This window comes from Homo sapiens, chromosome 11 (genome assembly GCF_000001405.40).
Source record: "Homo sapiens chromosome 11, GRCh38.p14 Primary Assembly".
Classification (NCBI taxonomy): domain Eukaryota; kingdom Metazoa; phylum Chordata; class Mammalia; order Primates; family Hominidae; genus Homo; species Homo sapiens.
In genome coordinates, this window is record NC_000011.10 from 34,208,715 (window position 1) to 34,236,665 (window position 27,951).

General features: G+C 46.9%; 1 protein-coding gene across 1 annotated transcript in view, besides 3 other annotated features; it reads right to left on the minus strand.

Annotated features, from left to right (window-relative positions):
• ABTB2 (ankyrin repeat and BTB domain containing 2) overlaps positions 1–27,951 on the minus strand; it is a 207,024-nt gene that overhangs the window by 57,728 nt on the left and 121,345 nt on the right. The gene's annotated exons all lie outside the window — the stretch shown is intronic.
• Positions 25,287–25,811: an enhancer, noted in NCBI's record as "OCT4-NANOG-H3K27ac hESC enhancer chr11:34255548-34256072 (GRCh37/hg19 assembly coordinates)". NCBI's record gives its function as "activates a minimal SCP1, AML or CMV promoter by ChIP-STARR-seq in naive H9 embryonic stem cells {active_cell/tissue: H9 hESC(naive)}" and the evidence as "EXISTENCE:reporter gene assay evidence [ECO:0000049][PMID:30033119]".
• Positions 25,287–25,817: a biological region, named in NCBI's record as "OCT4-NANOG-H3K27ac hESC enhancer GRCh37_chr11:34255548-34256072".
• Positions 25,488–25,817: an enhancer, noted in NCBI's record as "active region_4599". NCBI's record gives its function as "activates an Ori minimal core promoter by ATAC-STARR-seq in GM12878 lymphoblastoid cells {active_cell/tissue: GM12878}" and the evidence as "EXISTENCE:reporter gene assay evidence [ECO:0000049][PMID:35858748]".

Below are 27,951 nucleotides of genomic sequence, written 5' to 3' on the forward strand. Positions count from 1 at the left end.
TACAGCACCGTGGCCACCCGGTTGCCCAAGGAGAGACCTGTGAGTCACCCTTATCAGTTCTCTCCCTTCTCATCCACCTCCCATCAACCACCAAGCCTTGCTGCTTTTACCACCAACATATCTCAAAAATCCTTCACTGCCACCACCCCAGTCAGGCTGCCATCTTCCCCTGCCCCCCTGGACCTGCAGCAGCCTCCTCACCCATCCCCTGCCTCCAGGCTTACCCCCTTCCCCTTACTCTGGTCACCTTGCTCCAGCTTTGTACTCTTCAATGACTCTCTGTTAGCCTCACAAAGAAGTCCAAACTCCTTTGCACATCTAACTATCCTTTAAGAATAGTTAGCATCCTGGCTGGCCGTGGTGGCTCAGGCCTGTAATTCCAGCACTTTGGGAGGCAGAGACGGGTGAATCACTTGAGGCCAGGAGTTTGAGACCTGCCTGGCCACCGTGGTGAAACACTATCTCTACTAAAAATACAAAAATTAGCCGGGCATGGTGGTGCACACCTGTAATCCCAGCTACTCAGGAGGCTGAGGTGAGGGAGAATTACTTGAACCTGGTGGAGGTTGCAGTGATGAGAACGTGCCACTGCACTCCAGCCTGGGCAACAGAGTGAGCCTCTGTCTCCAAAAAAAAACTTTTTTTTTCCCCCAGAAAAGAGAATAGATAACGTCCTTCTCTGCTTTTTGAAATTTAGGGAGGAGAGTAATTCTGCCAGTAAACTGGAAAATTTCCCAGCACCTCCCAAGATATCAGCAGAGTTAGGAACCCTGTGCACACCTGATCCTCGCTTCTCTAAGCTACTTTTCACTCTGCTCTGCTCTAGCCCAGAGGGGTGATGGTAGGGGTGGAGGGTAGGCGTGGGGGTGAGGATGGGGGTGAGGGGGAGGGGTAGGGGTGGGGGTGAGGGGTAGGGGTGGGGGTGAGGGAAAGGGTTGGGGGTGAGGGTGAGGGGTAGGGGTGAGGGGTAGGGGTGGGGGTGAGGGGTAGGGGTGGAGGTGAGAGGTTGGGGGGTCAGGGGTGGGGGTGGGGGTAGGGGTGGGGGTAGGGTGGGGGTGGAGGGTAGGGGTGGGGGTAGGGGTGGGGGTGGAGAGTAGAGGTGGGGGTGAGGATGGGGTGAGGGGTTGGGGTGGGGGTGGGGGTGAGGGATGGGGGTGAGGGGTAGTGGTAGGAGTAGGGTCAATGGTAGGGGTATGGGTGGAACTCTGGAGGACAGCAGCCTGCTTCTTTCCTAAGTGATTCTCCACCAGGGCCCAGAGAGGGTGCCACTGAGTTAGAAGGGAAACCCAGTTCTCAGAAGACTGGGAAGCCGCCTTCTTGCCAGTTGCCAACCGGGACGTGAGCTGAGTTTTAGCTTGCAGAGGCGCTGTCTCTTCCAAGCTGACGGAAGCTGGTGGACTGCACTTTGGGATGACAAGCCAGACTTCTAAAGGGTTTTTAGAAGCAGGGCTTAGGCCAAAGGCCAAATTGATGGGGATTTCATTCCCTTCTCTGTAAACCACGGGGGTGGAATCTATGGCTTCTCAAGTCCTCCCAGCACTGGGATTCTAGACTCTGACCCCTATGTGTGCGACAGCACTCAGGTGCACCCCTGAAATCCTTTTTATCCCTTCTCATTCCACCATTTAACTTGTGAATTGTCAACAGTGGGAACACAGAGACCTTGTTTTTACTATTTCCTATGGTTTAATTTCCTCCAGAGCTATAACACCACCACTTTCCCCCATATACACACACACAACTTTAAATGTAAAAAAGATGTCCTTTCTGTGTAAAACTGGATAGGTTTATAGTGAAGCTTTATCTGACCATTCATCAAAAAGCCACCAAGACTGTAACATAACTGTCCTCCAAACTCAGCAACCATTACGAGCGCTCTCCCCAGACTTGTAAATGTTCTTTCTGGGCAATGGGACAGTGAGTGTGGTACCATTTCTGCACCTGCCACCAACGGCCCCACTAGCCCACCAGCTACCCGGCTCAGGGAAGCTCATGGCCAAGGCAGCCAAGGCCACCGCCTGTCCCTAGTTTCTTTGAAAGGAAAACCAGAGGGCAGAGGATTACTCCTTTACTGCACTCGCAAGGAAACTTGGCAGGGCGTCTTCTGCCAGCCTTCTTAGGTGCGCGGGAAGCTTGGGTGGGGTGCAATCCATAAGCTTCTGAAAATAAAAATTATACTGCCCCACTGAACGGTTTCCAAATAGCCCAGATAAGCCAACCCCTTTTTAAAATTTTTTTATTTTTAAGTGTTTCCATTCTCTGATCTGGAATTTTATATATAGTACATTTAATGCCCAGTTGTTATATATTAGTCATGCCAGAACAAAGTGTAGAAAAGTTGAAGCATGAATAGTTTTCAGGGAGACCCAAATAGAGTGTAAGGACAGTCAATTCATTCTTTTTGTTTGTTTTGAGACGAGGTTTTATTCTGTCACCCAAGCTGGAGTGCAGTAATGGGATTACAGCTCACTACAGCTTCAACCTTCGGGGCTCAAGCAATCCTCCCATCTCTGCCTCCTGAGTAGCTGGGGTACAGGGGCACACTGCCGTGTCCAGCTAATTTTTGTATTTTTTGGAGAGATGGAGTTTTTGTCATCTTTTCCAGGCGGGTCTAGAACTCCTGGGCTCAAGCAATCTGCCCGCCTCAGCTTCCCAAATTTGCTGGGATTATAGGTGTGAGCCACCATGCCCAGCCAGGACAGTCAATTCTTTAAAAAAGCCCCCAAACCCTTCACTGAATAGTATTCCACATGACATTCTAAGTTCAGAGAGGCTGGGGGGATGGGTGTTGAGACAAGAGCAAGATGAGGGAAATAAGAGGAAAAACCTGAAGTGGAATGGAATATGCCCCAGGAGCTGTCAATCATCCATGTAAAGTGATTCATCAGGAATAATCAAGCCAGGCGTGGTGGCTCACACCTGTAATCCCAGCACTTTGGGAGGCCAAGGCAGGAGGATCACTTGAGATCAGGCATTCGAGACCAGCCTGTCCAACATGGTGAAAATACAAAAATTACTACAAAAATTAGTCAGGCATGGTGGTGCACACCTGTAATCCCAGCTACTCAGGAGGCTGAGGCAGGAGAATTGCTTGAAACTGGGAGGCAGAGGTTGCAGTGAGCCGAGATTGCACCACTGCACTCCAGCCTGGGCGACACAGCCTGGGTGACAGAGTGAGACCCTGTCTCAAAAAAAAAAAAAAAAAAAAAAGGATAATCAAAAAGTCATCTAATACTTGGGCAAAACCCATCTCAAGACGTGACCATGATACTGTGAGGCCCAAAAATTCAAATGGGGAGAAAATGCTGGGAGACAGGAGAGATAAGGGGAAGTTTGAGAAGCAGGTTTTATTTATTTATTGAGACAGGGCCTTACTCTGTCATTCAGGCTGGAGTGCAGTGGCGCAATCTCAGCTCACTGCAACCTCCTCCTCCCAGGTTCAAGCAATTCTCCTGCCTCAGCCTCCGGAGTAGCTGGGAGTACAGGCACCCACCACCATGCTCGGCTAATTTTTGTATTTTTAGTAGAGACGGGGTTTCGCCATGTTGGCCAGGCTAGCCTCGAACTCCTGACCTCAAGTGATCCACCTGCCTTGACCTCCCAAAGTGCTGGGATTACAGGCATGAGCCACTGCACCTGGCCAGAGAAGCAGGTTTTAACCATGGCTAATAATAAATGGACATGGACTACCATGCATTGAGTAGGTCCTTTCTGCCAGGGATTGGATGAACGAGCATTTGAAACCCTAGAAAGACCCTCGCAGTGGAGTACTATTACTAACCCCATTTGCCAGCGAGGGACACTGAAGTTTAGATGGGCTGAGTCATTTGACTGAGGTCCACAGCTAGAAAATGGCAGAGGTGGGATTCAGACCCAGTGTGTCTGATACTGGAGTCCACACTGGCTCAGTCTGAAGGAGGAGAACACGAGGCTCTCCCCATGCAAACTCAGAGACAGCACTCTTCCTTCAGCACTCACCACCCCATCAGCACTGTGCTTTCCTTCTTTTTCTAAGGTCAGGAAATTAAAAGCAAATAACAATTATCCTCCACTTAACACTTCATTCTGGCTAAGTTATCAGAACAGCACTGGCAAAAGGTGGTCTTCTGGTGAAGTCAGGCCCGGGGCCCAGGAGCTCACTGTTAAACAGTAAAATAATAACACACACTTAACAACTGCTTAAGAAGCTGGCGGCCACAGAACCCAGGGGGAGATAAAAGGCTGGCAAAGGGTGATGTGCTCAGGGCCAGCAACCCCAATTTTCCTAAAAAAGAGTGGTGCAAAGTAAACCTCACTCCGAACACCGGGCTGGATTCACTTCCTCTTGGAATCCTTTGGGCCTGCTGGGGGTGCACCTGCTTGTGGAGTTGGTGTGGGGACTGCCTCTCTCCCATCCAGCTGGCTCCTCCAATTCTCAGAGGGGCTCCAGCAGGGTTAGAATTTAGAAGGATGGAGGAACTACTATAAAACTCGACAGCCCTGACCAGGCGCAGTGGCTCACGCCTGTAATCCCAGCACTTTGGGAGGCCAAGGCAGGTGGATCACTTGAGGTCAGGAGTTCGAGACCAGCCTGGCTAACATGGTGAAATCCCCCATCTCTACTAAAAATCCAAAAATTAGCCGGGCGTGGTGGCAGGTGCCTGTAGTCCCAGCTGCTCAGGAGGCTGAGGCAGGAGAATCACTTGAACCAGGGAGGCGGAGGTTGCAGTGAGCCGAGATCGCTGCCACTGCACTCCAGCCTGGGCAAGAGAGCGAGACGCCATCTCAAAAACAAACAAACAAAACTAGACAGCCCCACAAGTGTGGCAAATTTGGAATCCCCACTGGGAATGCTGGCTCAGTGGCACTTTGGTGATTCATCTATGGTAAATATCAGTTCTGACACAGACCCAGAGGATGACTATTAGGTGCCTGTAAGAAAACTAGCAGGGATGCTACATTGCTGTTTAATTTTTTTGAAGCAAAAACTTAATAAAATGCCATCTGCTCACTGCCATTTCTCCTCTTTGCAAAAGAGTATAAAATAAAGCCAGTGTAACCAAGCAGATCAATTTCAGGAAATTAAACCTAAAGGTGAACCCTGGAAAAACCAGTGCAATAGTCACAACATTGGGCAATGTGGGGCAGAAAACTAACATTCGAGCTACTGAGCTTTTTCCTGTGGAAAAATATCTCTGTGTTATTTAGAATACTTTTTAAGAGATTCTGGGTGGCCTCTCTCCAAAGTATTGATGTAACACATGAAGAACTTAGTGACCCAGGGAGCATGAGTCTTGGAACTACTGCCTCTTTGAAAAGAACAGTCCGCCACATGACCACGGTCCTTTGTCATACGCTGTCCTTGACCCGCAGTGGGTGAGCACACTAATTCCTGTAAGCCAATGACAACACAGAGCCACTTTTCTATTAAGGCAGCACATTCAAAACACACACACACACACACACACACACACACACACACAAAGTAAATGGAGAAATTAAGGATGGAGATGAAGCAGTCGTAGACTCAGTACCTTAAATATCAGCCTTCTTCTCAACAGCCACTAAAAGAGTGGTTCGCTTGATGCTAGGGTCATAAAAATGCTTTCTGCCCTACTATGCTTTCCAAACTTTTTATAATGAATATGGCTTACTGGCATAGGAACAATGACTGTTTTGAGCAATATGAGAGAGGGGATGAGATGTAATCAGAGGCAGAGGAGGGTGACAAAATGTTTCTTCTGAGCAAAGAACACCCATAATTTGAATTATGGTATAACATTTGTTATCTGAAATTAAATTTTTAGATAAAGGAAAAAGTGAATGTTAAAAATACCACTTTTTTTTTTTTTTTTTTTTTTTTAAAGTCAGGTTCTTGCTCTGTCTCTCAGGCTGGAGTGCAGTGGTGCAATCTCAGCTCACTGCAACCTTCACCTGCTGGGCTCATGCCATCCTCCCACTTCAGCCTCCCGAAGTGCTGGGATTACAGGTGTGGGCCACTGCACCCAGCCAAAACTATCGCTATTATCTTGTTACCTATAAAGAGCCTAGAATTTATTTCTGCATGGTATACTTTTAGATGATTCTTCTCCCATTATTCTTCATACTTTTTAACAAAACTAATATTACAATTATTATGAGCTCATGGAGGTTAAAAGAAAAAGGTACATGAAAGGAAAACCTGGTTGTTTTATAGAAATTTTACCAAAAAATGAGGGGGTACTGCTTTTGGAAGAAACTCAGGGAGAACCCATTCTAAATTGCTAACCAGTAGATGAGACATTGTCTGCATGCCTCATTCCAAGTATCTATCATCTGGCCCCTTCGCCTGGCCCCAGGTGGTGGTGACTCAGGCACTGCATCACCAGTGGGACTTTCTGTGGCATCTTGCTGATGCTCTGCCCTGCCGTGTACCTACTGCTCTGAGCCTGTGTGATCATTCTACAGCTACAGTGGCCGAATCACCACTGGTGGGATGCTGCCATTGCTGGGCAGGGGGTGAGGGAGGGAGAGGAGGCAAAGCCAGCGCAGGGAGTGACAGCTGAGCTGCATCCTTCCCCTGCTAGGGATCAGTGCTGCCAGGGACAGAAAGAGGGCAGTGGGTGTGACCTCTCAGTGCCAGCTCAGAGAGGAAGAAAGGGATCAAAAGGGCACAAACACAAGTCTCTCCTTGAGAGTTTAAGGAAAAGATGCAAACATCACAAGGCCCAGGGCAGATGGCCAAGATGTTTATTAACAGAACATGAGTATATTCATCAGAGAATATTCATCAGAGATTTACTGCACTGGAGTCCTGCTTATAAACATAACCTGCTTCAATCAGCTTCGGTTCCAATTCCAAAAGGGATTGATCATTAGACTCTTCAGACAATTAAAGGGCATGAGTCAGAGCAATGAGGTTCAAAACCCAGCTCTGCCACTTACTAGCTGTGTGACTCTGGACTAGTTACTTGAGCTCTCTGAGCCACAATTTGTTTCTCTGGATAATAGGCCTAATCATACTTCCTAATTCACAAGATTGAGCATTAAAACAGGTTTTGTAAATAAGCACTTAGCAAAAGGCTTGGCACACAGTAAAGCATATAGTAAATAAAAATATTTTTATTAATAGCCTGATTCCTAGGGCTGATGGCTTCAAGACAAAGAAGTCATCAGATACTATATAAAAGTTATTGTCACTATTAGGAAGGAGGGATAGACCCAAGGCCACTCGATTCTGTTATTTTCTTAAAGGCCACTAGGATCCACAGTGATTTAAAAAAAAATTGTGATTTACTCACCACAGATGGCTCATTTATTCTGCATTCATTCACTCATTTATTCAACAACTGTGTAATGATTACCTAATAATACACCAGAAGCAGCTATGCTCTGGGGATATGAAAGTGAATGGGGGTCCCTACCCTCATGAAGTTGGCAGTCTAGTGGAGGAGGGAAGACAGTATGCCAGCCAAATAAATATTGGATACAAAGGGCTGTGATGCAGTCAGCACAAGGAATCCAAACTAAGGATCTCTAAGCCAGACTACCTAGGCTTGGTGGTCAAGGAAGGCTTCCTGGAAGAAGGGACACCTCAGTTGATGATGAGCAGGTATCAGTCTGCTCTGAAAATCCTCTGTGCTCTGCCTATTCATCCCTCCCTGCCCAACCCCTGGCAACCACTGATCTTTTTACTGTCTCCATAGTTTTGCCTTTTTAAGAATGTCATATAGTTGGAATCATACTATACATGGCCCTTTCTGATTGGCTTCCTTTACTTAGAAATATACATTCAAGGCCGGGTGCAGTGGCTCACACCTGTAATCCCAGAACTTTGGGAGGCCGAGCCAGGCAGATCACTTGAGGTCAGGAGTTCAAGAGCAGCCTGGCCAACATGGTAAAACCCCATCTCTACTAAAAATACTAAAATTAGCCAGGCGTGGTGGCAGGTGCCTGTAATCCCAGCTACTCAGGAGGCTGAGGCAGGAGAATCACTTGAATCCGGGAGGCAGGAGGTTGTAGTGAGCTGAGATTGTGCTGTTGCACTCCAGCCTGAGCAACAAGAGCGAAATTCCATCTCAAAAAGAAAAAAAGAAAGAAAAGAAATATACATTTAAGTTTCCTCCATGTCTGCATGGCTTGATATTCCAGAAGCAGGGCTTGGACATCAGACCAAATTGAGGACTAGCTAAAACAGGTCCCGGGCAGAAGCAGCTTTCCATTAAGACACGCCCACCAGTGTGCCATGGTTGGTTTACCATTTCCATGGCAACACCTAGATGTTCCTGCCTCTTTCCGTGGCAATGACCTGATAACCTGGAAGTTACCAACCTCATCCTAGAAATTTCTGCACGAGCCACCCCTTAATTTGCATATAATTAAAAGTGGGTACAAATATTACTGTACTAGTAGTACGGAACTGCCTCTAAGCTGTTATTCTGGACACACTGCCTATGGGATACCCCTGACCCACAAGGAATAGTACCTTTGCTGCTGCTGTAAACTGCCACTTCAATAAAAGCTGTTTAACACCACTGGCTCACCCTTGAATTATTTCCTAGGCGAAGCCAACAACTCTCCTGGGATAAGTCCTAATTTTGAGGTTTGCCTGTCGTGCATCATCAGCTTATTTCTTTTTAGCTCTGATAATATTCCATTGTCTGGATGTACCACAGTTTATCTATCCATTCACATATTGAAGGACATCTTGGTTGCTTCCAAGTTTGGCAATTCTTAATAAACCTGCTATAAATAACTGTGCACAGGTTTTTGTGTAGATATAAGTTTTTTTTGTTTTGTTTTGTTTTCAGACAGAGTCTCACTCTGTCACCCAGGCTGGAGTGCAGTGGTGTGATCCTGGCTCACCACAATCTTCGCCTCCTGGGTTCAAGCGATTCTCCTGCCTCAGCCTCCCGAGTAGCTGGCCTTACAGGCACCTGCCACCATGACTGGCTAATTTTTGTGTTTTTAGTAGAGACGGGGTTTCTCCATGTTGGCCAGGCTGATCTTGAACTCCTAACCTCAAATGATCTGCCTGCCGCGGCCTCCCAAAGTGTTGGGACTACAGGCATGAGCCACCGTGCCCAGCAGATAAAAGTTTTTAACTCCTTTGGGCAAATACTAAGGAATGCAGTTGCTGAATTGTATTGGTATCATATACCTATGAGTAACTAAGGAACTGCCAAATTGTCTTCCAAAGTGGCTGAACCATTTTGCATTCCCACCAGCAATGCATGAGAGTTCCTGTTGTTCCACATCCTCACCAGCATTTGGTGGTATCAGTGTTCTGGATTCTGGCCACTCTAAGAGGTGTGCAGTGGTATGTCCTAGTATGGTCATTGTAACTTGCAATTTCCTAATGACAGATGATGTTGAACATTTTTTCACAAATTTAGTTGCCATCTGCATATCATCTTTGGTGAGATGTCTGTTAAGATCTTTGATCCATTTTTAAATTGATTGGTTGTTTTCTTATTGCTGAGTTTTAAAAGTTCTTTGCATATTATTTTAGGTAGCAATCCTTTATCAGATGAATCTTTTGCTGCAAATATTTTCTCCCAGTCTGTGGCTTGTCTTTTCACTCTCTTGGCACTGTCTCTTACAGAGTAGAAACTAATTTTGATAAAGTGCAGCTGATTGATTCTTCCTTTCCTGGATCATGCTTTTGGTGTCTGGTGTCATATCTAAAAAGTCATCATCAAACCCAAGGTCATCCTAGATTTTTTTCCCCATGTTATCTTCTAGGAGTTTTATAGTTTTGTGTTTTACATTTAGGTCTCTGATCCATTTGAGTTAATTCTGGGAAGGGTGTAAGGTCTGTGTCTACATTTATTTATTTATTTTTGCATGTGGATGTCTGGTTTTCCTAGCACCATTTGTTAAAAAGGCTATCTTTGGCTGGGTGCAGTGGCTCACGCCTGTAATCCCACCACTTTGGGAGGCTGAGGTGGGCAGATCACCTGAGGTCGGGAGTTCCAGACCAGCCTGACTAACATGGAGAAACCCCATCTCTACTAAAAACACAAAATTAGCCAGGGGTGGTGGTGCACGCCTGTAATCCCAGCTACTCGAGAGGAGGCAAGAGAATCACTTGAACCCAGGAGGTGGAGGTTGCTGTGAGCCAAGATTGCACCATTGCATTCCAGCCTGGGCAACAAGAGCGAAACTCCATCTCAAAAAAAAAAAAAAAAAAAAAAAAAAGACTATCCATTGTTTACCTTTGTTCCTCTGTCAAGATGAGTTGACTATGTTTATGTAGGCCTATTTCTGGGCTCTCTATTCTGTTCCATTGATCTATTTGTCTAGGGAAATTTACCATGCTGTTCTCATCATTCATTCACTTATCCAAATATTCATTACACGCCTACTAATTATACCAAGCTTAGTGCTAGGAATACAGAGGTGAGTAAGACCCAGTTTTCTAATCTGGAGGGGAGGAAAAACATGTACACAAATAATTTAAGTAGACCATGATAAATACTAGAGGAGGAGTCTGTAGTAGGAATAGTCATGTGCTGCATGACATTTTGGCTAGTGACAGACAGCATATACGATGGTGGTCCCATAAAGTTATAATGGAGCTGGAAAGTTCTATCACCAGCCAGGCATGGTGGCTCACACCTATAATCCTAGCCCTTTGGGAGACCAAGCCAGGAGGATTGCTTGAGTTCAAAGCCAACCTGGGCAACATGGCAAGACCCTGTCTCTACAAAAGATTTAAAAATTAGCCAGGCATGGTGGCATGCAGCTGTGGTCCCAGCTGTGGGAGGCTGAGGAGGGAGGATTGCTTGGGCCCAGAAGGTTGAGGCTACAGTGAGCCACAATCATGCCACCGTACTCCAGCCTGGGCAACAGAGCAAGACCCTGTCTCCAAAAACAAACAAACAAAAAAAGAGAAATTCTATCACCTAGTGATGTTGTAGCCAACATAAGATCATAGTGCAATGCATTACCTTTTCTATATTTAGATACAGAAATATGTACCATTGTGTTACAATTGTCTACAGCATTCAGTACAGTAACTTGCTGTCCAGGTTTATAGCCCAGGAGCACTTGGATATACCATATAGCCTAGGTGTGTAGGAAGCTATACCATCTAGGTTTGCATAAGTACACACTATGATGTTCCCACAACAAAATCACCTATCCATGCATTTCTCAGAACCTATCCCTGTCATTAAGCAATGCATGGCTGTAGTAGAAACTTGGAAGGACAGCCTGAAAAGAGGACTTTTGCTATGTGCTGTTATCGTCAGCAAGGGAGGAAAAATAACAGGATGTTTCAAAAAGCCCCCATTTACTCAAAGAACTCCAAAGGGATTTTACAGACTTTATGAGAAGCAAACACTCCCTGGTTATCTCATAGTTAAGCAACAATATGCAATACCAGAGGGACTGAAGGGGTGGAGGAGGTATAGGGAAGGAAGCTAGTTTATTGTCCCAGTAGGACACTCATTCCCAGATGGGTATATCCTGCCAGAGGTCACTATGTCATTCCCAGCATCTTGGAGGACACTATGATCTTTCCCTGCAAAGAAGTAAGAAAACGATCACTGGACACTTGAAACCGGGCTGACCTCTCAGTGACCTACCCAGCTCCATTCCTTCTCCTTCTTGGCTGACATGCCGTTCTGTCTCGAGTGGCCATGCAATATGCCAGGAGCCCTGGTGGACATCTTCCCAGGCTCTCTTATGGCCGTGCCACACAGTTCTGGACAATGAGACATCAATTCAAGACTTCAGGGTTTCTGGGAAATACTACTTCTCCTGATCAAAAGGGATAATCAGCTCTCTGGCTGGCAGGGCTTTTGCTCTTCTTATTGCCTCAACTGTGACATACTGTTTGAAGAAGGTGCAGCAGCAGCCACTGTGTAACCAGGAGGCAGGACCCTGCTACGGCTGAAGCTGTTCTCAGAGAGTGGGGCCAGAGCCAACGTGCTGAGGATGGCAGAGCAAAAGGCAGAAAGAGCCTGGCTCTCTCGCAGTCTCACCCAGCAGCTAAAAGACACCAGGCACTGCCTATCCCTGAACCTCTTGTTGCAAAAATAAAATAAATAAATAATAAATAAATAACCCCCTGTTGGTCTATCAATTTGCTAGGGCTGCCATAACAAAATACCACAGACCGGGTGGCTTCAACAACAGACATTTATTTTCTCACTGTTCTAGAGGCCTGAAGTTCAAGATCAAGGTGTTGGCAGGGGTTGGTTTCTCATGAGGCCTCCCTCCTTGACTTGTAGGTGGCCCATTCTCTGTCTACGTCTTCACATGATCTTTCTCTGTGCCTGTGTCCTAATCTTTTTTTTTTTTTTCTTTGAGAAGGAGTCTGACTCTGTCATGCAGGCTGGAGTGGACTGGTGCGATCTTGGCTCACTGCAACCTCCACCTCCCGGGTTCATGCAATTCGTCTGCCTCAGCCTCCAGAGTAGCTGGGACTACAAGCCATGCGCCACCACGCCCGGCTAATTTTTGTATTTTTTTAGTAGAGACGGGGTTTCACTATGTGGGCCAGGCTGGTCTCGAACTCTTGGCCTCGTGATCCACCTGCCTTGGCCTCCCAAAGTGCTGGGATTATAGGCGTGAGCCACCACGCCTGGCCCATCTCTTCTTCTGATAAGGACATCGGCCATACTGAGTTAAGGCCTACCCTCATGACCTCACTTAACTTCATTACCTCTTTAAAGACTTCATCCCCAAATACAGTCACACTCTCAGGTAGTGGGAGCTGGAATTTCAACACAGGAATCTTGAGAGGTACATAGTTCAGCCCCTAAAGGTCAGGTTTTCTGTGACTTGCAGATGAAGTGATTCCCCAAGTTTCCAAGGAGCAGGCTAAAGTGACTGCTCAGAGTACACTGTCCAGCCTGGCTGGCTGTGCCTGTGTCCCTTAGACTACTGAGAACAGAGTGGCTCTAGCCAAGTCCCCTGAGGGCTTGAGGTGGTGACGGCAAATCTAGCCCTCATTCAGCTTGAATAGGGGGGCTCAACGCTCCCCTCACGGGGCAATCCTCTGGCCAGAACATTCACCTGCTGCTAGGCAGTCTGTGGAGTCCCACTCACTCACTTAATTTTAATTTAAAAACTTGGCTGGGTGCAGTGGGTCATGCCTATAATCCCAGCACTTTGGGAGGCCAAGGCAGGTGGATCACCTGAGGTCGGGAGTTCCAGACCAGCCTGGTCAACATGGCAAAACACTGTCTCTATTAAAAATATAAAAATTAGCTGGACATGGTGGTGCATGCCTGTAATCCCAATCCTATCTACTTGGGAGGCTGAGGCAGGAGAATAGCTTGAACCTGGGAGGCGGAGGTTGCAGTGAGTCGAGATCGCACCATTGCATTTCCAGCCTGGGTGACAGAGTGAGACTCCATCTCAAAAAACAAAACAAAACAACAACAACAAAAAACCATTGGTTCTGTCTGGAAAGGTGGGACAACTTGAAGCAAGGGGTGGGGCTTCCAGGTTATAGGTAGATTTAAAAATTTTCTGATTGGCAATTGGTTGAAAGGGTTATCAATAGAAAGGAATGTCTGGGTTGCATAAGAGGTTGTGGTGACCAGAGTTTCATCATGCAGATGAAGCCTCCAGGTAGCAGGCTTCAAAGAGAATAGATGATAAATGCTTCTGCTTAGACTTAAGGTCTGTGTGGATATTAATGCCAGAGAGGTATAGTGAGGCATGTCCAACCCCACTTCCATTCATGGCCTGAACTAGTCTTTCAGGTTAAATTTTAAGAGTGCCCTGGCTGTGGAGGAAGTCCATTCAGATGGCTGGGGAGCCTTAGAATTTTAATTTTGGTTCACAGAGCCCTAAGCATCCGAGTGGGAGGTGAGGAGCCTCCTCCTCCACCTGGAGCCCTGTAGAAAGAGGTTACCTTAACAGGCCTCATAACAGGCACCCTCCAGCTTAATCTTAATTTGAAAACCAGCTCTCAAAAATGAAATCAAGCTACAGGGAGATGCTGAGTTTCAGATGCAGTGCCTGTGGATAACAGACTTTCCCTCCCAGAAGCCTCTTAAGGCTGGATGTGGGGCTGTGCTTTGCAGAAAGGCACTGGAGACCTCGGTGCACTGACTTCTAACCCTGGGCTTGCACATAGGCCTACCCCGAAGGAGTCCTTGCCTCCCTATGGGAAAACTAGGGCTCTCGAGTGCTTTGCACACAGAACCAAAATAGGAAGGTCTCCCTCTAAGTCTCCCCAGTTTCTGGGGGAACGACAGAGCCTGCAGCAAGCTCTCCTGGGAAGGTGGGCCTTTCCCTGGGGAGCACCTTCTTCTTGCTGCCCTGGGCACAGAGGAGTCTTGGCCTGTCTGCACAGCCCTAATGTGACCCTGTGTATTTAAACTGAAACTTTGGGCTTTGACCCAAAGCCCCTCGCTGTTTGTTTTACAAACTCCTACTTACAGTCTCAAATTAGGCTCATTAAAAAGCCAGCTCCCTGTGGGGCTATAAACGTCACATGGACAAGCGGAGAGTGAGTTTACGAGGCTGGCGTGTGATCTGCCCACCAACACAGCCGAGGACCGAGTGGAAACAGTGAATCAGCCTGTTTCAGCAGAACCTGTTTCCTCAGCCCTCCCGACTGGAGCAGAGGTGGCAACGTCCCAAAGAGGCAGCCCCATCGGTCCTTCCAGGACAGCTGGCCTGGATCTTTCCTGGATCTGCACAGCACAATTGACAGAGAGGAAGTCTGTACCCCAAAATTCTCCGCTCTCCTGCTCCCCTAAGCCTTTTCTTAGTTCTTGATTTGGAGTCTCCCCTGCGCCACCCCATTCCATTCACATTTGCCCCGTAATCATCATTAGGAGCGTAGGCTGCTGCTACCTCCCTCCCAACCACACACACACTCACTCATGCTTTGAGCAGACTGACCCTATCTCTGCATGGGGTGTTGCTCCTGCCTGGGTGGCCCATGCTCTAGCTCTGGGAACTGTCACCCCTGCTTTGCAGCTTGTGCCTTGCAGGCAGCAGGCCTGGGGGATTGGAGCACAGAGGAAAGCAGTCTCCTGCGCCCCGGCATCAGCCTCAGCCTCATTACTCAAATTGCTGACCCGCTAGCATGCCTCCAGTTACATCAGAGCTCCAACACTATGTTGCCTCCAGTGAGATCTGATTGTCCACCCCTCAAGTCAACTGCCAGAGGGTGGAGAAAACTACTAGAACATTCTCCTTATTTCTGTCTTTTTGCAGCTTCCACTCTCTGGTACTGTGTCTACACCCTGTAAACCCAGCTCCAGTCTCAGCCTATTCACTACCCTCTTAAATCCAGGAGCCCAGGACCTCACGTACAACTTCAGGGTATGCTGTGTTTGTGTCCACCCTGAGTGGTTCAGAAGAGACTAAGAGGATCATGCCCCTCTTTCTGTTTTTGTTAATTTTGAGACAGGGTCTTGCTCTGTTGCCCAGGCTGGAATGCTTTGGCACAATCTGCTCACTGCAGCCTTGACTTCTGGGCTCAGCATCCTGAGTAGCTGAAAACTACAAGTGTATGCCACCACACCCAGCTAATTTTGTTTATTTTTTTGGAGAGATGAGGTCTCACTATATTGCCCTGGACTCAACTCCTGGACTCAAGCAGTCCTTTTGCTTCGGCCTCCCAAAGTGCTGGGATTATAGGAGCAGGCCACCATGCCCAGCCTAATTTTAATTTTTCATAGCAATGGGGTCTTGTCCTGCTACCCAGCTAGTCTCAAACTCCTAACCTCAAGCCATCCTCCCATCTCAGCTTCCCAAAGTGTTGAGATTACAGGCGTGGTGTACCCCTTTCTGGATACTGCAATGCTGATGACTGCAGTTTCAACACTGGTGGCCTCCCCTCTCTTTGACCATCCTTTCTTTCTATCAAGTGACTGGCTGCCATGGTCTTCATAGAGCCTCCCCCGACAATGACGTGTTGGTTAAAAGGCACCAGCTCATGAGTTAGGTGGACCCAACCTTGCAGGGTGGCCTCCAACACATAACACCACCTTTGAGCCTCAGTTTGCTCGTCTGCACAGTGGAAATAGCACCTACTCTCAAAGACTGAGGGCGAACATCAAATGAGATGATGCATATATGTACTCAACATAGTCCCTGGCAAAGACTGGGCATACAAAAGACAGAAGGCACCATTGTCTCTAATCACCACTGAACTCTGCCCCTCTCCTCTGGTTCTCAGGCTTGAGGTAGGAATGATTTGAGATAGTGGTAATCTTTTTTAACGAGGCTTTTGGCTAAGGAAGGGCAAAAACTATATTTTTCTTCACACTTCCTTCTTGCTGTCATCTCTGCAGTTCACACAGTTCCAAGAACATGGTAGGTGCTTAATAAGTATAAAAAAATCCATGTTCAGAGAATGTGGATTTATTTTAGCTTTAAATCTAAACTTGAGGTATGCAGTCAAAACTGAGATACTGAGATATTCTGAATATTAAACTAGAATAATAGTTCTGACTTCCGATGGCATTACAAGTTAAAGGAAAAGCAATGTATTCATGACACCCGTCTCCTCCAATTGCTCAGCTAATGAGGAGGTGGCCGTCAGGGAGGGCAGAGGGCAGAGGCTGACTGCTCTGACGCGTTAGAGCAGAAGGGGAAAGAGTGGGCTTGTCAGCCTGGTCTCCAGCTCTGGCCCTGGTCCTGGGCCAAAAGCCGGCCTGGGGAGCAAAGAATTAAACTGTCATGCTGCAAGACCCCGCCACTGTTATGGCTGAAGTCGCCAGCTGTAAACAATAGCTCAGACTCCACACAGGGCTTGTAGACTGCAGAGCCCACCCTCTTGGGCTCTAGCTTTCCTCTTCCCTTCCCTTAAAAAGAAAGAGCTAGCCAGGCGCGGTGGCTCATGCCTGTAATCCCAGCACTTTGGGAGGCCGAGGTGGGCAGATCAACTGAGGTCAGGAGTTCGAGATCAGCCTGACCAACATGGAGAAACCCCGTCTCTACTAAAAATACAAAATTAGCCCGGTGTGGTGGCACATGCCTGTGATTCCAGCTACTCGGGAGGCTGAGGCAGGAGAATTGCTTGAACCAGGGAGGCAGAGGTTGCGGTGAACCGAGATCGCGCCATTGCACTCTAGCCTGGGTAACAAGAGTGAAACTCCACCTCAAAAATAAATAAATAAATAAAATAAAAAGAAAGGGCTGGTGGGGTGGGCAGAGAAAAGGAGAAAGAAGAAAGTATCTGAAAAATAAGAACCTGTGTTACATGAGTGCTTTGAGCTTAGAAGTCCCTGGACATTCCAAGTAACTATAGGTTTTAGAAGCCGCTATCAAGCCAGGTGCGGTGGCTCACGCCTGTAATCCCAGCACTTTGGGAAGCCGAGGCGGGTGGATTGCCTGAGCTCAGGAGTTTGAGAGCAGCCTGGGCAACATGGTGAAACCCCGTCTCTACCAAAAATACAAAAAATTAGCCGAGTGTTGCGTGCGCCTGTAGTCCCAGATACTTGGGAGGCTGAGGTGGGAGGATCACTTGAGCCTGGGAGGCAGAGATTGCAGTGAGCTGAGATTGCACCACTACTCTCCAGCCTGGGTGAAAGACTGAGCTGAGAGTCCATTAAAAAAAAAAAAAAAAAAAAAAAGAAGCCACTACCTATTTGAGTTTTATTGCCTCAAATAAACATTGGGAATAGCTTGGCAGGATGGGCCACCACTGCCCTTCCTTGATCCAGAGCCCAGTCTCCTGGAAGGGATGTTTTAAAAGAGGAGCTCTCCTATGGGAATAGAAAGCAAAACCAAGATCCCCTCACACAAATGAGGAAGCTGCCTCCTTAAGGAGCAATGAACAAGTGCAGACTACAGGCAGGGTCAGTACAAACTGCCTAAGGACTCTGTGACATGATGGTATCACATATGGCTTTAACATAAAACACGGACAATAACCTGAGAAGTTAAGCTACTTGCCCAAGGCCACAGAGTAGGACCATGCTCCTCACAACTCCAGTATAGAGAAACTGGGCTCAGCGTTCATGAGTCCAAGTAGGCTGTTTTTTCAAAATGAGATATAATTCACATGCTATAAAATTTACCCTTTTAAAACATTTCATTCGCTGTTTTTAGTATATCAGAGTATGAAACCATAACCACTATTTAATTTCAGAACATTTTCATCACCCCAAAAAGAAAACGTTTGGTATGGTATGGGTATGGTAGCTCACACCTGTAATCCCAGCACTTTGGGAGGCCGAGGCAGGTGGATCACTTCAGGTCAGGAGTTGGTGACCAGGCTGGCCAACATGGCAAAACCCCATCTCTACTAAAAATACAAAAATTAGCATGGTGTGGCAGTGTACGCCTGTAGTCCCAGCTACTCTCCTGAGGCAGGAGAATTGCTTGAACCCAGGAGGCGGAAGTTGCAGTGAGCTGAGATGGCACCACTGCCCTCCAGCCTGAAAAAGACTCTGTCTCCAAAATAAAAAGGAGTTCAAGATCAGCCTGGCCAACATGGCGAAATCCCGTCTGTACTAAAAACACAAAAATTAGTCAGATATGGTGGCGCACACCTGTAATCCCAGCTACTCAGGAGATTGAGGCAGGAGAATCACTTGAACCCAGGAGGCGTAGGTTGCAGTGAGCCCAGATTGCACCACTGCACTCCAGTGTGGGTGACAGAGTGAGACTCCATCTCAAAAAAAAAAAAGAAAAAAAAAAAAAAGAATCTGTACCCATTGGAAGTCATCAGTCTCTCCCCATTATCCATTTCCCTCTGTTCTTAGAAAGCACTAAGCTATTTTCTGTCTCTACGAATTTGCCTTTCCTGGACATTTCACATAAATGGAATCCCACAAGATGTGGCTTTTTGTGTCTGGCTTCTTTTATGTGGCATAATGTTTTTAAGGTCCATCCATGTTGTAGCATGTATCAGTACTATACTTTTTGTGGGCGAATGATATTCCATTGCATGGATATACCACATTTTGTTTATCTATTCAATTATTGATGAATATTTGGATTGTTTCTACCTTTTGGCTATTACAAACAATGCTGCTAGTCATGTACAAGTTTTTGTGTGAACATACATTTTCATTTATCTTGGTATATATGAGTGGAACTGCTGGGTTGTGTGGTAATTGTAACTTTTTTTTTCTTCTTTTTTTTTATTTTCTGAGACGGAGTTTTGCTTCTGTCACCCAGGCTGGAGTGCAATGGCATGATCTTGGCTCACTGCAACCTCTGCATCCCGGGTTCAAGCAATTCTCCTGCCTCAGCCACCTGAGTATCTGGGATTACAGGCACGTGCCACCACACCTGGCTAATTTTTGTATTTTAAGTAGGGACAGGGTTTCGCAATGTTGGCCAGGCTGGTTTCAAACTCCTGACCTCAGGTGATCCGCCCGCCTCGGCCTCCCAAAGTGCTGGGATTACAGGCGTGAGCCACCACACTTGGCCTACTTTTTTGTTTGTTTTCTTTTTGAGATAAGGTCTCACTTTGTTGCCCAGGCTGGAGTGCAGTGGTGTAATCTTGGCTCAGTAGCATGATCTTGGCTCACTGCAACCTCTGCATCCCAGGTTCAAGCAATTCTCCTGCCTCAGCCACCTGAGTATCTGGGATTACAGGCACGTGCCACCACACCTGGCTAATTTTTGTATTTTAAGTAGGGACAGGGTTTCGCAATGTTGGCCAGGCTGGTTTCAAACTCCTGACCTCAGGTGATCCGCCCGCCTCGGCCTCCCAAAGTGCTGGGATTACAGGCGTGAGCCACCACACTTGGCCTACTTTTTTGTTTGTTTTCTTTTTGAGATAAGGTCTCACTTTGTTGCCCAGGCTGGAGTGCAGTGGTGTAGTCTTGGCTCAGTAGCATGATCTTGGCTCACTGCAACCTCTGCCTCCTGGGTTCAAGTAATTCTCCTGCCTCAGCCTCCAGAGTAGCTGGAATTACAGGCGCCCGCCACCATACCTAGATAATTTTTATATTTTTAGTAGAGATTTCACCATGTTGGCCAGGCTAGTCTCGACATCCGACCTCAGGTGATCGCCTGCCTCAGCCTCCCAAAATGCTGAGATTACAGCATGTGCCACCGCACCCAGCCTATGTTTGATTTTTTGAGGAACCACCATGCTTGTTTTCCACAGTGACTTCACCATTTTACGTTCCTACCAGTGGTGTATGAAGGCTCCAATTTCTCCACATCCTCACCAACACTTATTATCTGTCTGTTTGGTTATAGTCCTAAGAAAGTGGTATCTCAGGGGCCAGGTGCAGTGGCTCATGCCTGTAATTCCAGGAGTTTGGGAGGCCAAGGTGGACAGATCACTTTAGGTCAGGAGTTCGAGACCAGCCTGGCCAACATGGTGAAACAGCATCTCTACTAAAATACAAAAATTAGCTGGGTGTGGGGGCAGGCACCTGTAATCCCAGCTACTCGGGAGGCTGAGGCAGGAGAATTGCTTAAATCTGGGGGTGCGGAGGTTGCAGTGAGCCAAGATCGCGCCACTGCACTCCAGCCTGGGAGACAGAGCAAGACTCCGTCTTGGAAAAAAAAAAAAAAGAGAAAAAAGAAAAAGAAAGTGGTATCTCATTTAGTGATGATTCTTTAACAGAATTATTTATTCTGGCCGGGTGCGGTGGCTCACGCCTGTAATCGCAGCACTTTGGGAGGCCGAGGTGGGCGGATCACAAAGTCAGGAGATCAAGACCATCCTGGCTAACACGATGAAACCCGTCTCTACCAAAAATACAAAAAATTAGCCAGGTGTGGTGGCGGGCGCCTGTAGTCCCAGCTACTCGGGAGGCTAAGGCAGGAGAATGGCGTGAACCCGGGAGGTGGAGCTTGCAGTGAGCAGAGATCGCACCACTGCACTCCAGCCTGGGTGACAGAGTGAGACTCCATCTCAAAAAAAAAAAAAAAAGAAAGAAAATTATTTATTCTTTGCTACCAAATCGGCAGTGACTTCTGTGCTAGAATGGGTTTCCTTAAAACAAGTGCAACCACAAAGGCCACGGAAGAGGCACATAAAATGGAAGCACATTGAACACAAAGTTAGGATGACCCTTAAGAATAAAGCTCTCTCACTAGTTTCATATTAAATTACTTTAGCACTATAAGAATAATTAATGCATGTTTTCTACAGAAAAATATAAAAAATACAGTCAAATGCAAGGTAGAAAATAAAAATCACCCATAATCCCATCACTTAGAGAGAAGTATTGATACTTGTTAAATATTGTTCATATATTTTTAAACCTACAGTGTTGTTTCATTTCACTTATTACACCAAACAGCATTTTCTTATGGCATTAGCTATCTTTGGAACGGGCCTTTAAATGTCTACCCAGTTCTTGCCACTGGTTTCAGTTTTGCCAGCCACTTTCCTATGGCTTTTCTAGATATGTTCACGTTCCTCTCTTCTGAAGCTCACTGTTGTTCAGTTCTCAACAGCAGGGCCCCTAGTCGGATACAGCTACCTGCCAGGCAATGGGCAAGGGTTCTCTGTTGAAGCTCCTGGGAAGCCTGTAGGTGGGAGGTGGCACACGCACTCAGCACTCGCATATGCATGCGCAAACACACCCTACCTCTTTACAGTTCCCTGTGATGACTGCTGTGATCAGAGCAGGGGGACCGGTGACCTTGGTGACACCATAGTCCTTGCCTGCACTAACATCCACATCTCTATCAAAGGGGGAGTGTTGCATTTTGAAGCTAAGAAGTTCCCAAACCACGTTAAGTGGCAGTCAGCTCAGTGAGGGAGAATTTGAGGGTTGTACCTGGGTTTGAATGAGGGGTTAGTCACTTACCCAGACAAGTCCTCAGCCTTTCTGCAGTAAGACGGGGCCAACAATACCTAAAATAACTTTCGGGGAGCCCTGAGGGTTGAGTGAGAACCTAGGGCAGTGCCTGGAACACAGGATGGACTCAAAAATGGTACCTGGAACAAGGACATGGACGGGGAAGGCTCTGGTAAGTTGACGATGGGGAGAGTTGCCCCCTTACAGTCCCTAAATGCTGATGGCCCCTTCCTAAAGCATCTGTGGTCATTTATTTGACTGTTTATAATACCCTCCCACCAGACAGATGCCACAGGACCTTCCATGGTGTCTGCCTGAAGTTGTTGATATGACAAGAGGCTTACAGTGCCTCTTCCAGTCCTTTTCCTCTTATTTCCATCATGAAATCTCAGTATGATCTGCAAATTCTTTACCTAGTTTCCGAAAACCTTCTTTCAAAAGGAATGTCCCAGACACTCCAGTAGCAAGGAGTATATCCAGTGCCCAGATTCTGGTTTCTCTTTTTCTTTTTCTTTTTTGTAGAGACAGGGTCTTACTTTGTTGCCTATGCTGGTCTTGAACTCCTGGCTTCAGGCAATCCTCCCGCCTTGGCCTCCCAAAGTGCTGGGGTTACAGGCATGAGCCACCGCACACAGCAGATCCTAGATTCTAATAGCATTCTTCAATAAAAGGAACCAGAGCTCCTTCGAGAAATTGACTGATTTTAGGAACAGGGCATGGAAAACAGAAAATGAGCTTGGAGCATCTTGTGGTACCAGAAAGTAAGAGTGCTCAAAGAATCCTAAAATGATGAGATGGGAGCCAACCGAAAGCGCTCTCAACGGGCAAAGCCGGAACAATTTGCATAACAAAATAAATAACACAATATTGCATAATGACCCAAAGTATAAAATAAATACCCATATATGCATGCTTACTGATTGAAAAAATAACTAGGGGAGAATAAACCAATCAATCTTCCAATTAATCTATGCATTAATAGATACCACCCTCCCCCAGGAGGTAGAGCATAACTTCCCATCCCTTAGCTATGGAATGCACACAGTGACTTCACTCTAAAGACTACAGAGTGGACGTGGCCTGAGGGGCGGGAGTGGGGAATAATACTTGACAGTAGAGAAACCAGACAAACATTATCGGGTGGTCAAGGTTAACATCATCAGTGACAAGTCATGTTGATAGTGTGTATTCTTCTTATTCTTGTTTTTTTCTCCTGAGACGAAGTTTCACTCAGTCGCCCAGGCTGGAGTGCAATGGCGCAATCTCAGTTCACTGCAAACTCCGCCTCCTGGGTTCAAGCGATTCTCCTGCCTCAGCCTCCCAAGTAGCTGGGATTACAGGCGCATGCCACCATGCCCAGCTAATTTTTTGTATTTTTAGTAGAGATGGGGTGAGCCCCGCACCCGGCCGATAGTGTGTATTCTTGATATGATGAGTATGACACTTTACCTCTGTGGACTTCCCCGCAAAAAACCCTATAACCCCACACTAGTCATGAGAAAAACTTTAGACTGAAAGATATTCTGTAAAATATCTGATCAGCTCTCCTCTAAACTGTCAAGCTCACCAAGAACAAAGAAAGTCTTGTCACAGCCAAGAAGAATCTAAGGACATATAACAACTAAATATGGCATGGGTTCCTGAGACAGAAAAAGGACATTAGGTAAAAACTAAGGAAATCCTAAAGAAGTATGAACTTTAGTTAATAATGTTAATAGGGGAAACGGTGTGGGGTATCTGGAAACTTTCTGTAATACTCTTGCGACTTTCATGTAAATCTAAAATTGTTCTTATGCTGGGAGTGGTGGCTCATGCCTGTAATCCCAGCACTTGGGGAGGCCTAGGTGGGTGGATCATTTGAGGTCAGGAGTTCAAGACCAGCCTGGCCAACATGGTGAAACCCCATCTCTACTAAAAATACAAAAAATTAGCAGGGCATAGTGGTGCACGCCTGTAGCGCCAGCTACTTGGGAGGCAGAGGCATGAGAAGCACTTGAACCTGGGAAGCGGAGGCTGCAGTGAGCTGAGATCGCGCCACTGCACTCCAGCCTGGGCAATAGAGGGAGACTCTGTCTCAAAAAAAAAAAAAAAAATTGTTCTTAAATGAGACATTTAAATCCTAGAGAAAAGGAATATCCCAGAAGCACCATCACGAGGCCTAACCTAATCCCCAGCAAGGGACCTCTCGAGACCTTCTGAAGCCCCACCACAATCTGTAGCCTTCTCTCACAGACCACTTAGTATCTACTCATTTACATATCCATTTGTTTGCAAAGTATTTATCGAGCCCTTGGCCTTGGGTGCAGGGTGGTGGTTGGTCAGGGGGCATGGTGGCTCCCACTTGTAATCTCAGAACTTTGGGAGACCAAGGTGGGAGGATCACTGAGACCAGTTTGGGCAACATAGTGGGACTCTGTCTCTTAAAAAAAAATACATAATAATAAATAAAATTAGCCAGGCGTAATGGTCCCAGCTTCTTGGGAAGCTGAGGTGGGAGGATCTCTTGAGCCTGTGAGGTCAGGGCTGCAGTGAGCCATAATCACACCACTGCACTCCAGCCTGGGTGACAGAAGGAGACTCTGTCTCAAAAAACCCCCTAACCTCCCCCCAAAACCCCAAATGCCCCGCAAAACATATACTACCCCCTCCATCATGCTGGGAGCCACTGAAGGGAGACACCCTGTCATAGTGGTTTGGTCCTCCAGTGGCTAGGGAGGTAGCTGTTTGCTAAGTGAATGTTAAGTCCATCCCAGTCGCTTCCTGCTAACAGTCCACCACGGGAAGTTAGGCATTTAATAATGAGGACACAATTAGGACACCTGGGCTTGGTGCATGAGGATTTTTCTTTTTATTTTTTTGAAGACAAAGCAAAACAAAAAAACAACCCTTTCTTTTTGAGACAGGGTCTTGCTCTATTACCCAGGCAGAAGGGAAATGGCATGATCATGGCTCACTGCAGCTTTTTTTTTTTTTGAGACAGAGCCTCCTTGTTGCCCAGGCTGAAGTGCAGTGGTGTGACCTTGGCTCACTGCAGCCTCCGCCTCCCAGGTCACTGCAGCGTTAAACTCCTGGGCTCAAGCAATCCTCCTGCCTCAGCCTCCCAATTAGCTGGGACCACAGGGGTACACCACCACACCCAGCTAAGTTTCTAAAAATGTTTTGTAGAGACAAGGTCTCACCATGTTGCTCAGGCTGGTCTTGAAATCCTGGGCTCAAGCAATCTGCCTTGGCCTTGCAAAGTGCTGGGATTATAGGCATGAACCACTGTACCTGGCCCACCTTTTTTTTTTTTATTATAAAGGTAATTATGATTATTTTTTAAAAATCAGAAAGGAATAATGAATAAAGTTTCTTTTAATACTACCTCCCAGAGATAACTATTATTAATATATTATAATTTTTCTTCAAATAGGCTTTTAGTACAAATAGTACATGTACAAATACATGTACTAACCTATCAATTTTTTAAAATCACAAACCGAATTTGAGAAACAGGAACATAATGAAATTATTTTTCACCTAATGCTGAATCCTGTATTTTGTGGACATCTTTTCAGGTCAGTGTGTTTGGATATATATTTCTTTTTAAGACCTACACAGTTTCCAGGGTCATCGCTCCCTCAAATTTGAATTGTCAGCTTGATCCCTCTCAGAAGACTAGAGAAACCATACATCCCAGGGCACCTGAAGCAGGGCCAAGCTGGGCTGCAGGTATTTTCCACAGTGCTCTGGCAAGGCCTTCTCCGTGGCTCAGTTAGGGGGTTTCCCTTCTCCCCTCCCCTCCCCTGTTGGGGTGGGGGCAAGGGTAAGAGCGTCTCCCTGGAGGAGGTGCCTAAAGCAGGCTGTGAGTCACTCAGATGAGCTTCCGGGTGAAGTCATGCTGAGAAGCTATTTGCAGACACCTTACTCAAGGAGGCCTAAGGAAAGCATGGGGGGATGCCATCTCAAGCGAGAAATGGAGAACTTTTAGATTCTCCCCTCCCTGGCCTTTCTAGAGCAGAGGCTGTAACCGGAATATCAGAGACACAGTAAATTACCTGGGATTTCCCCATCAGGGAGATTCCTGGGTTACTCTCACTGATAACAAGACTAACTACTCACACCCAGGGTCCCAGGGTGAGGCTGGGCAAGGGAGGCACCAGGGCTGGTTCCACTGCTCAGAGGAGAAATGCAATTCTCTCCTGTGCCTCAAAGTCCAGCATTGTGAGAACACCTCGGATGCCAGCTCTGGCTCCGCCTCTCACAAAACCTAGGTAAAGTGCTTTGTGCGGAATCTTTTCCTTATGAAAAGGCAGGGCTACCAGGCAGTGCCAAGCCCTGGGACAGTCAGGTAACTAATTGCCTATTGCGACTCCCAGCTTACAGGGTAATGCTACCTGCTCCTGCTTAACCTCAGAGACTGGGAATCCCAGTTCTGCCACAGAAGAGGGCCCTTTTAGTTTCCCTGAAGCACTTATACAGAGATTATTGTGTTTATTTTATTTATTTATTTATTTATTTTTGAGACAGAGTCTCGCTCCTTCGCCCAGGCTGGAGTGCAGTGGCGCTATCTTGGCTCACTGCAAGCTCTGCCTCCTGGGTTCACGCCATTCTCCTGCCTCAGCCTCCCAAGTAGCTAGGACTATAGGCGCCCGCCACGGCGCCTGGCTAATTTTTTTTTTGTATTTTTAGTAGAGATGGGGTTTCACCGTGTTAGCCAGGATGGTCTCGATCTCCTGACCTTGTGATCCGCCTGCCTTAGCCACCCAAAGTGCTGGGATTACAGGCGTGAGCCACCGTGCCCGGCCGAGATTATTGTGTTTATTAATTTGCTTACTTGCTCAGTATCTGGTGCCCCTACTCCCTCTAAAATGCAAGCTCTGCATAGCAGGGATTGCCTGAAAAATGTCAGCCACATAGATGCTCAAGACATTTCTAGAAAAGAAATGAATGCCATCAGCCAAATATCTGACCATGACCCGGGGTAAGTACTTAACCTCTAGACCTCAGTTTCTTCATCTGTAAAGCGGATATGGTTTCTTCTCTGTAGTGGTTATGAACATATCGCATAAAGCACTAAACCCAATGCCTGACACATAGCAAGAGTTCAATAAAAGGGCTCTCTCTGTTATCCTCAGAGATGACAAGGATCTTGAACCCCACAATAAACTGCTACATCTCCAATACTGAATGAATTAGCCTCTGTTCAATAAGCCCCACAGGAAGGGGAGCGGGGGAGGTCAAAAGGAATTGGTGCCTGTGATCCCACCTTCCTAAGAGGATTTGCCTATCAGAGCCATCCAGGACCTGATTGGGGATCTCCTTCTGGCTTTTAAGCCACAAGCCATGAATACTGCTGACACCACTCCTATGAAGTAGCAACAAGTGATCCATCGCTAATTGCACTTTGCAGAGCTTTTTCTGATCCATGCTAGAGGCATTAATTAGCTGCAGGAGGTCAGCGCTAGCTAAGTGAACACTCTTTGTGCCCCAGGTAAGGAGACCAAGCTGAGAAGGCAGAGCAGAGCCTGTTCCTCCTTGAAACAAACTTTCAGGCAGCAAAGCCCTAAACAGAGACAGCTGTGTGGTCTGGGCAAGCACAGCGCCTAGCTTCCCTGCTGCCCACACTCAGAAGCAGGCTGAGCGCCAGACGGGGAGAGATGCTGCTGGGTTCTGGGGTGGACAGACATCGTGGACATCGGGTGCAGGCTGGTGGGTACACCCCTGCAAGGAAGAGAAGGGTAAAGGCCAGGTGGGAAGTCCGTGGATATTCTTGTTGGCAGAGGGAGATTAAAAATAGAAAAAAGAGACAGGGCTGGAGAAAGAGGAGGGGAGAAAAAGTATTAAAATAGAGTTTTTTCCCTGGAAAGAAGAGGTCATTTGGAACAGTCACTTCATATGAAAGGTAAAAAAATGTGTTTTGAAATAGCTGAGAAAATATGGAAATTTTCTTCTTCCTTTGCTCTTGTTGTAGAAGGGTAGAGAATTCACACTTGTCTTCTACCTCCAGAAGGCACAGGGCAGAAAACACAGGACTCTCTTTAATGTGCCTTTTAAGACAAAAAATTCTTTCTAATTTGGGGTGGGTCACTCGACAGGTTTCAGAGAGGTTATTTCTAGGGCTGGAGAAGGACTCTGTGCCGCCAGTTTTCCCTAACAGCAGCATTTTAAGCAGCAGATTTTAGGTAGCTTGAAGCCAGAGGACCCCATTCTCTTTTGATGCCTCCCCGGCACCCCCTCCCCTCAATCCACTGATTTACTCCGGGAGGCCTCAGGGCCCAAGGCCAGGCCTTGATCTCCTGGGGAAGCAGAA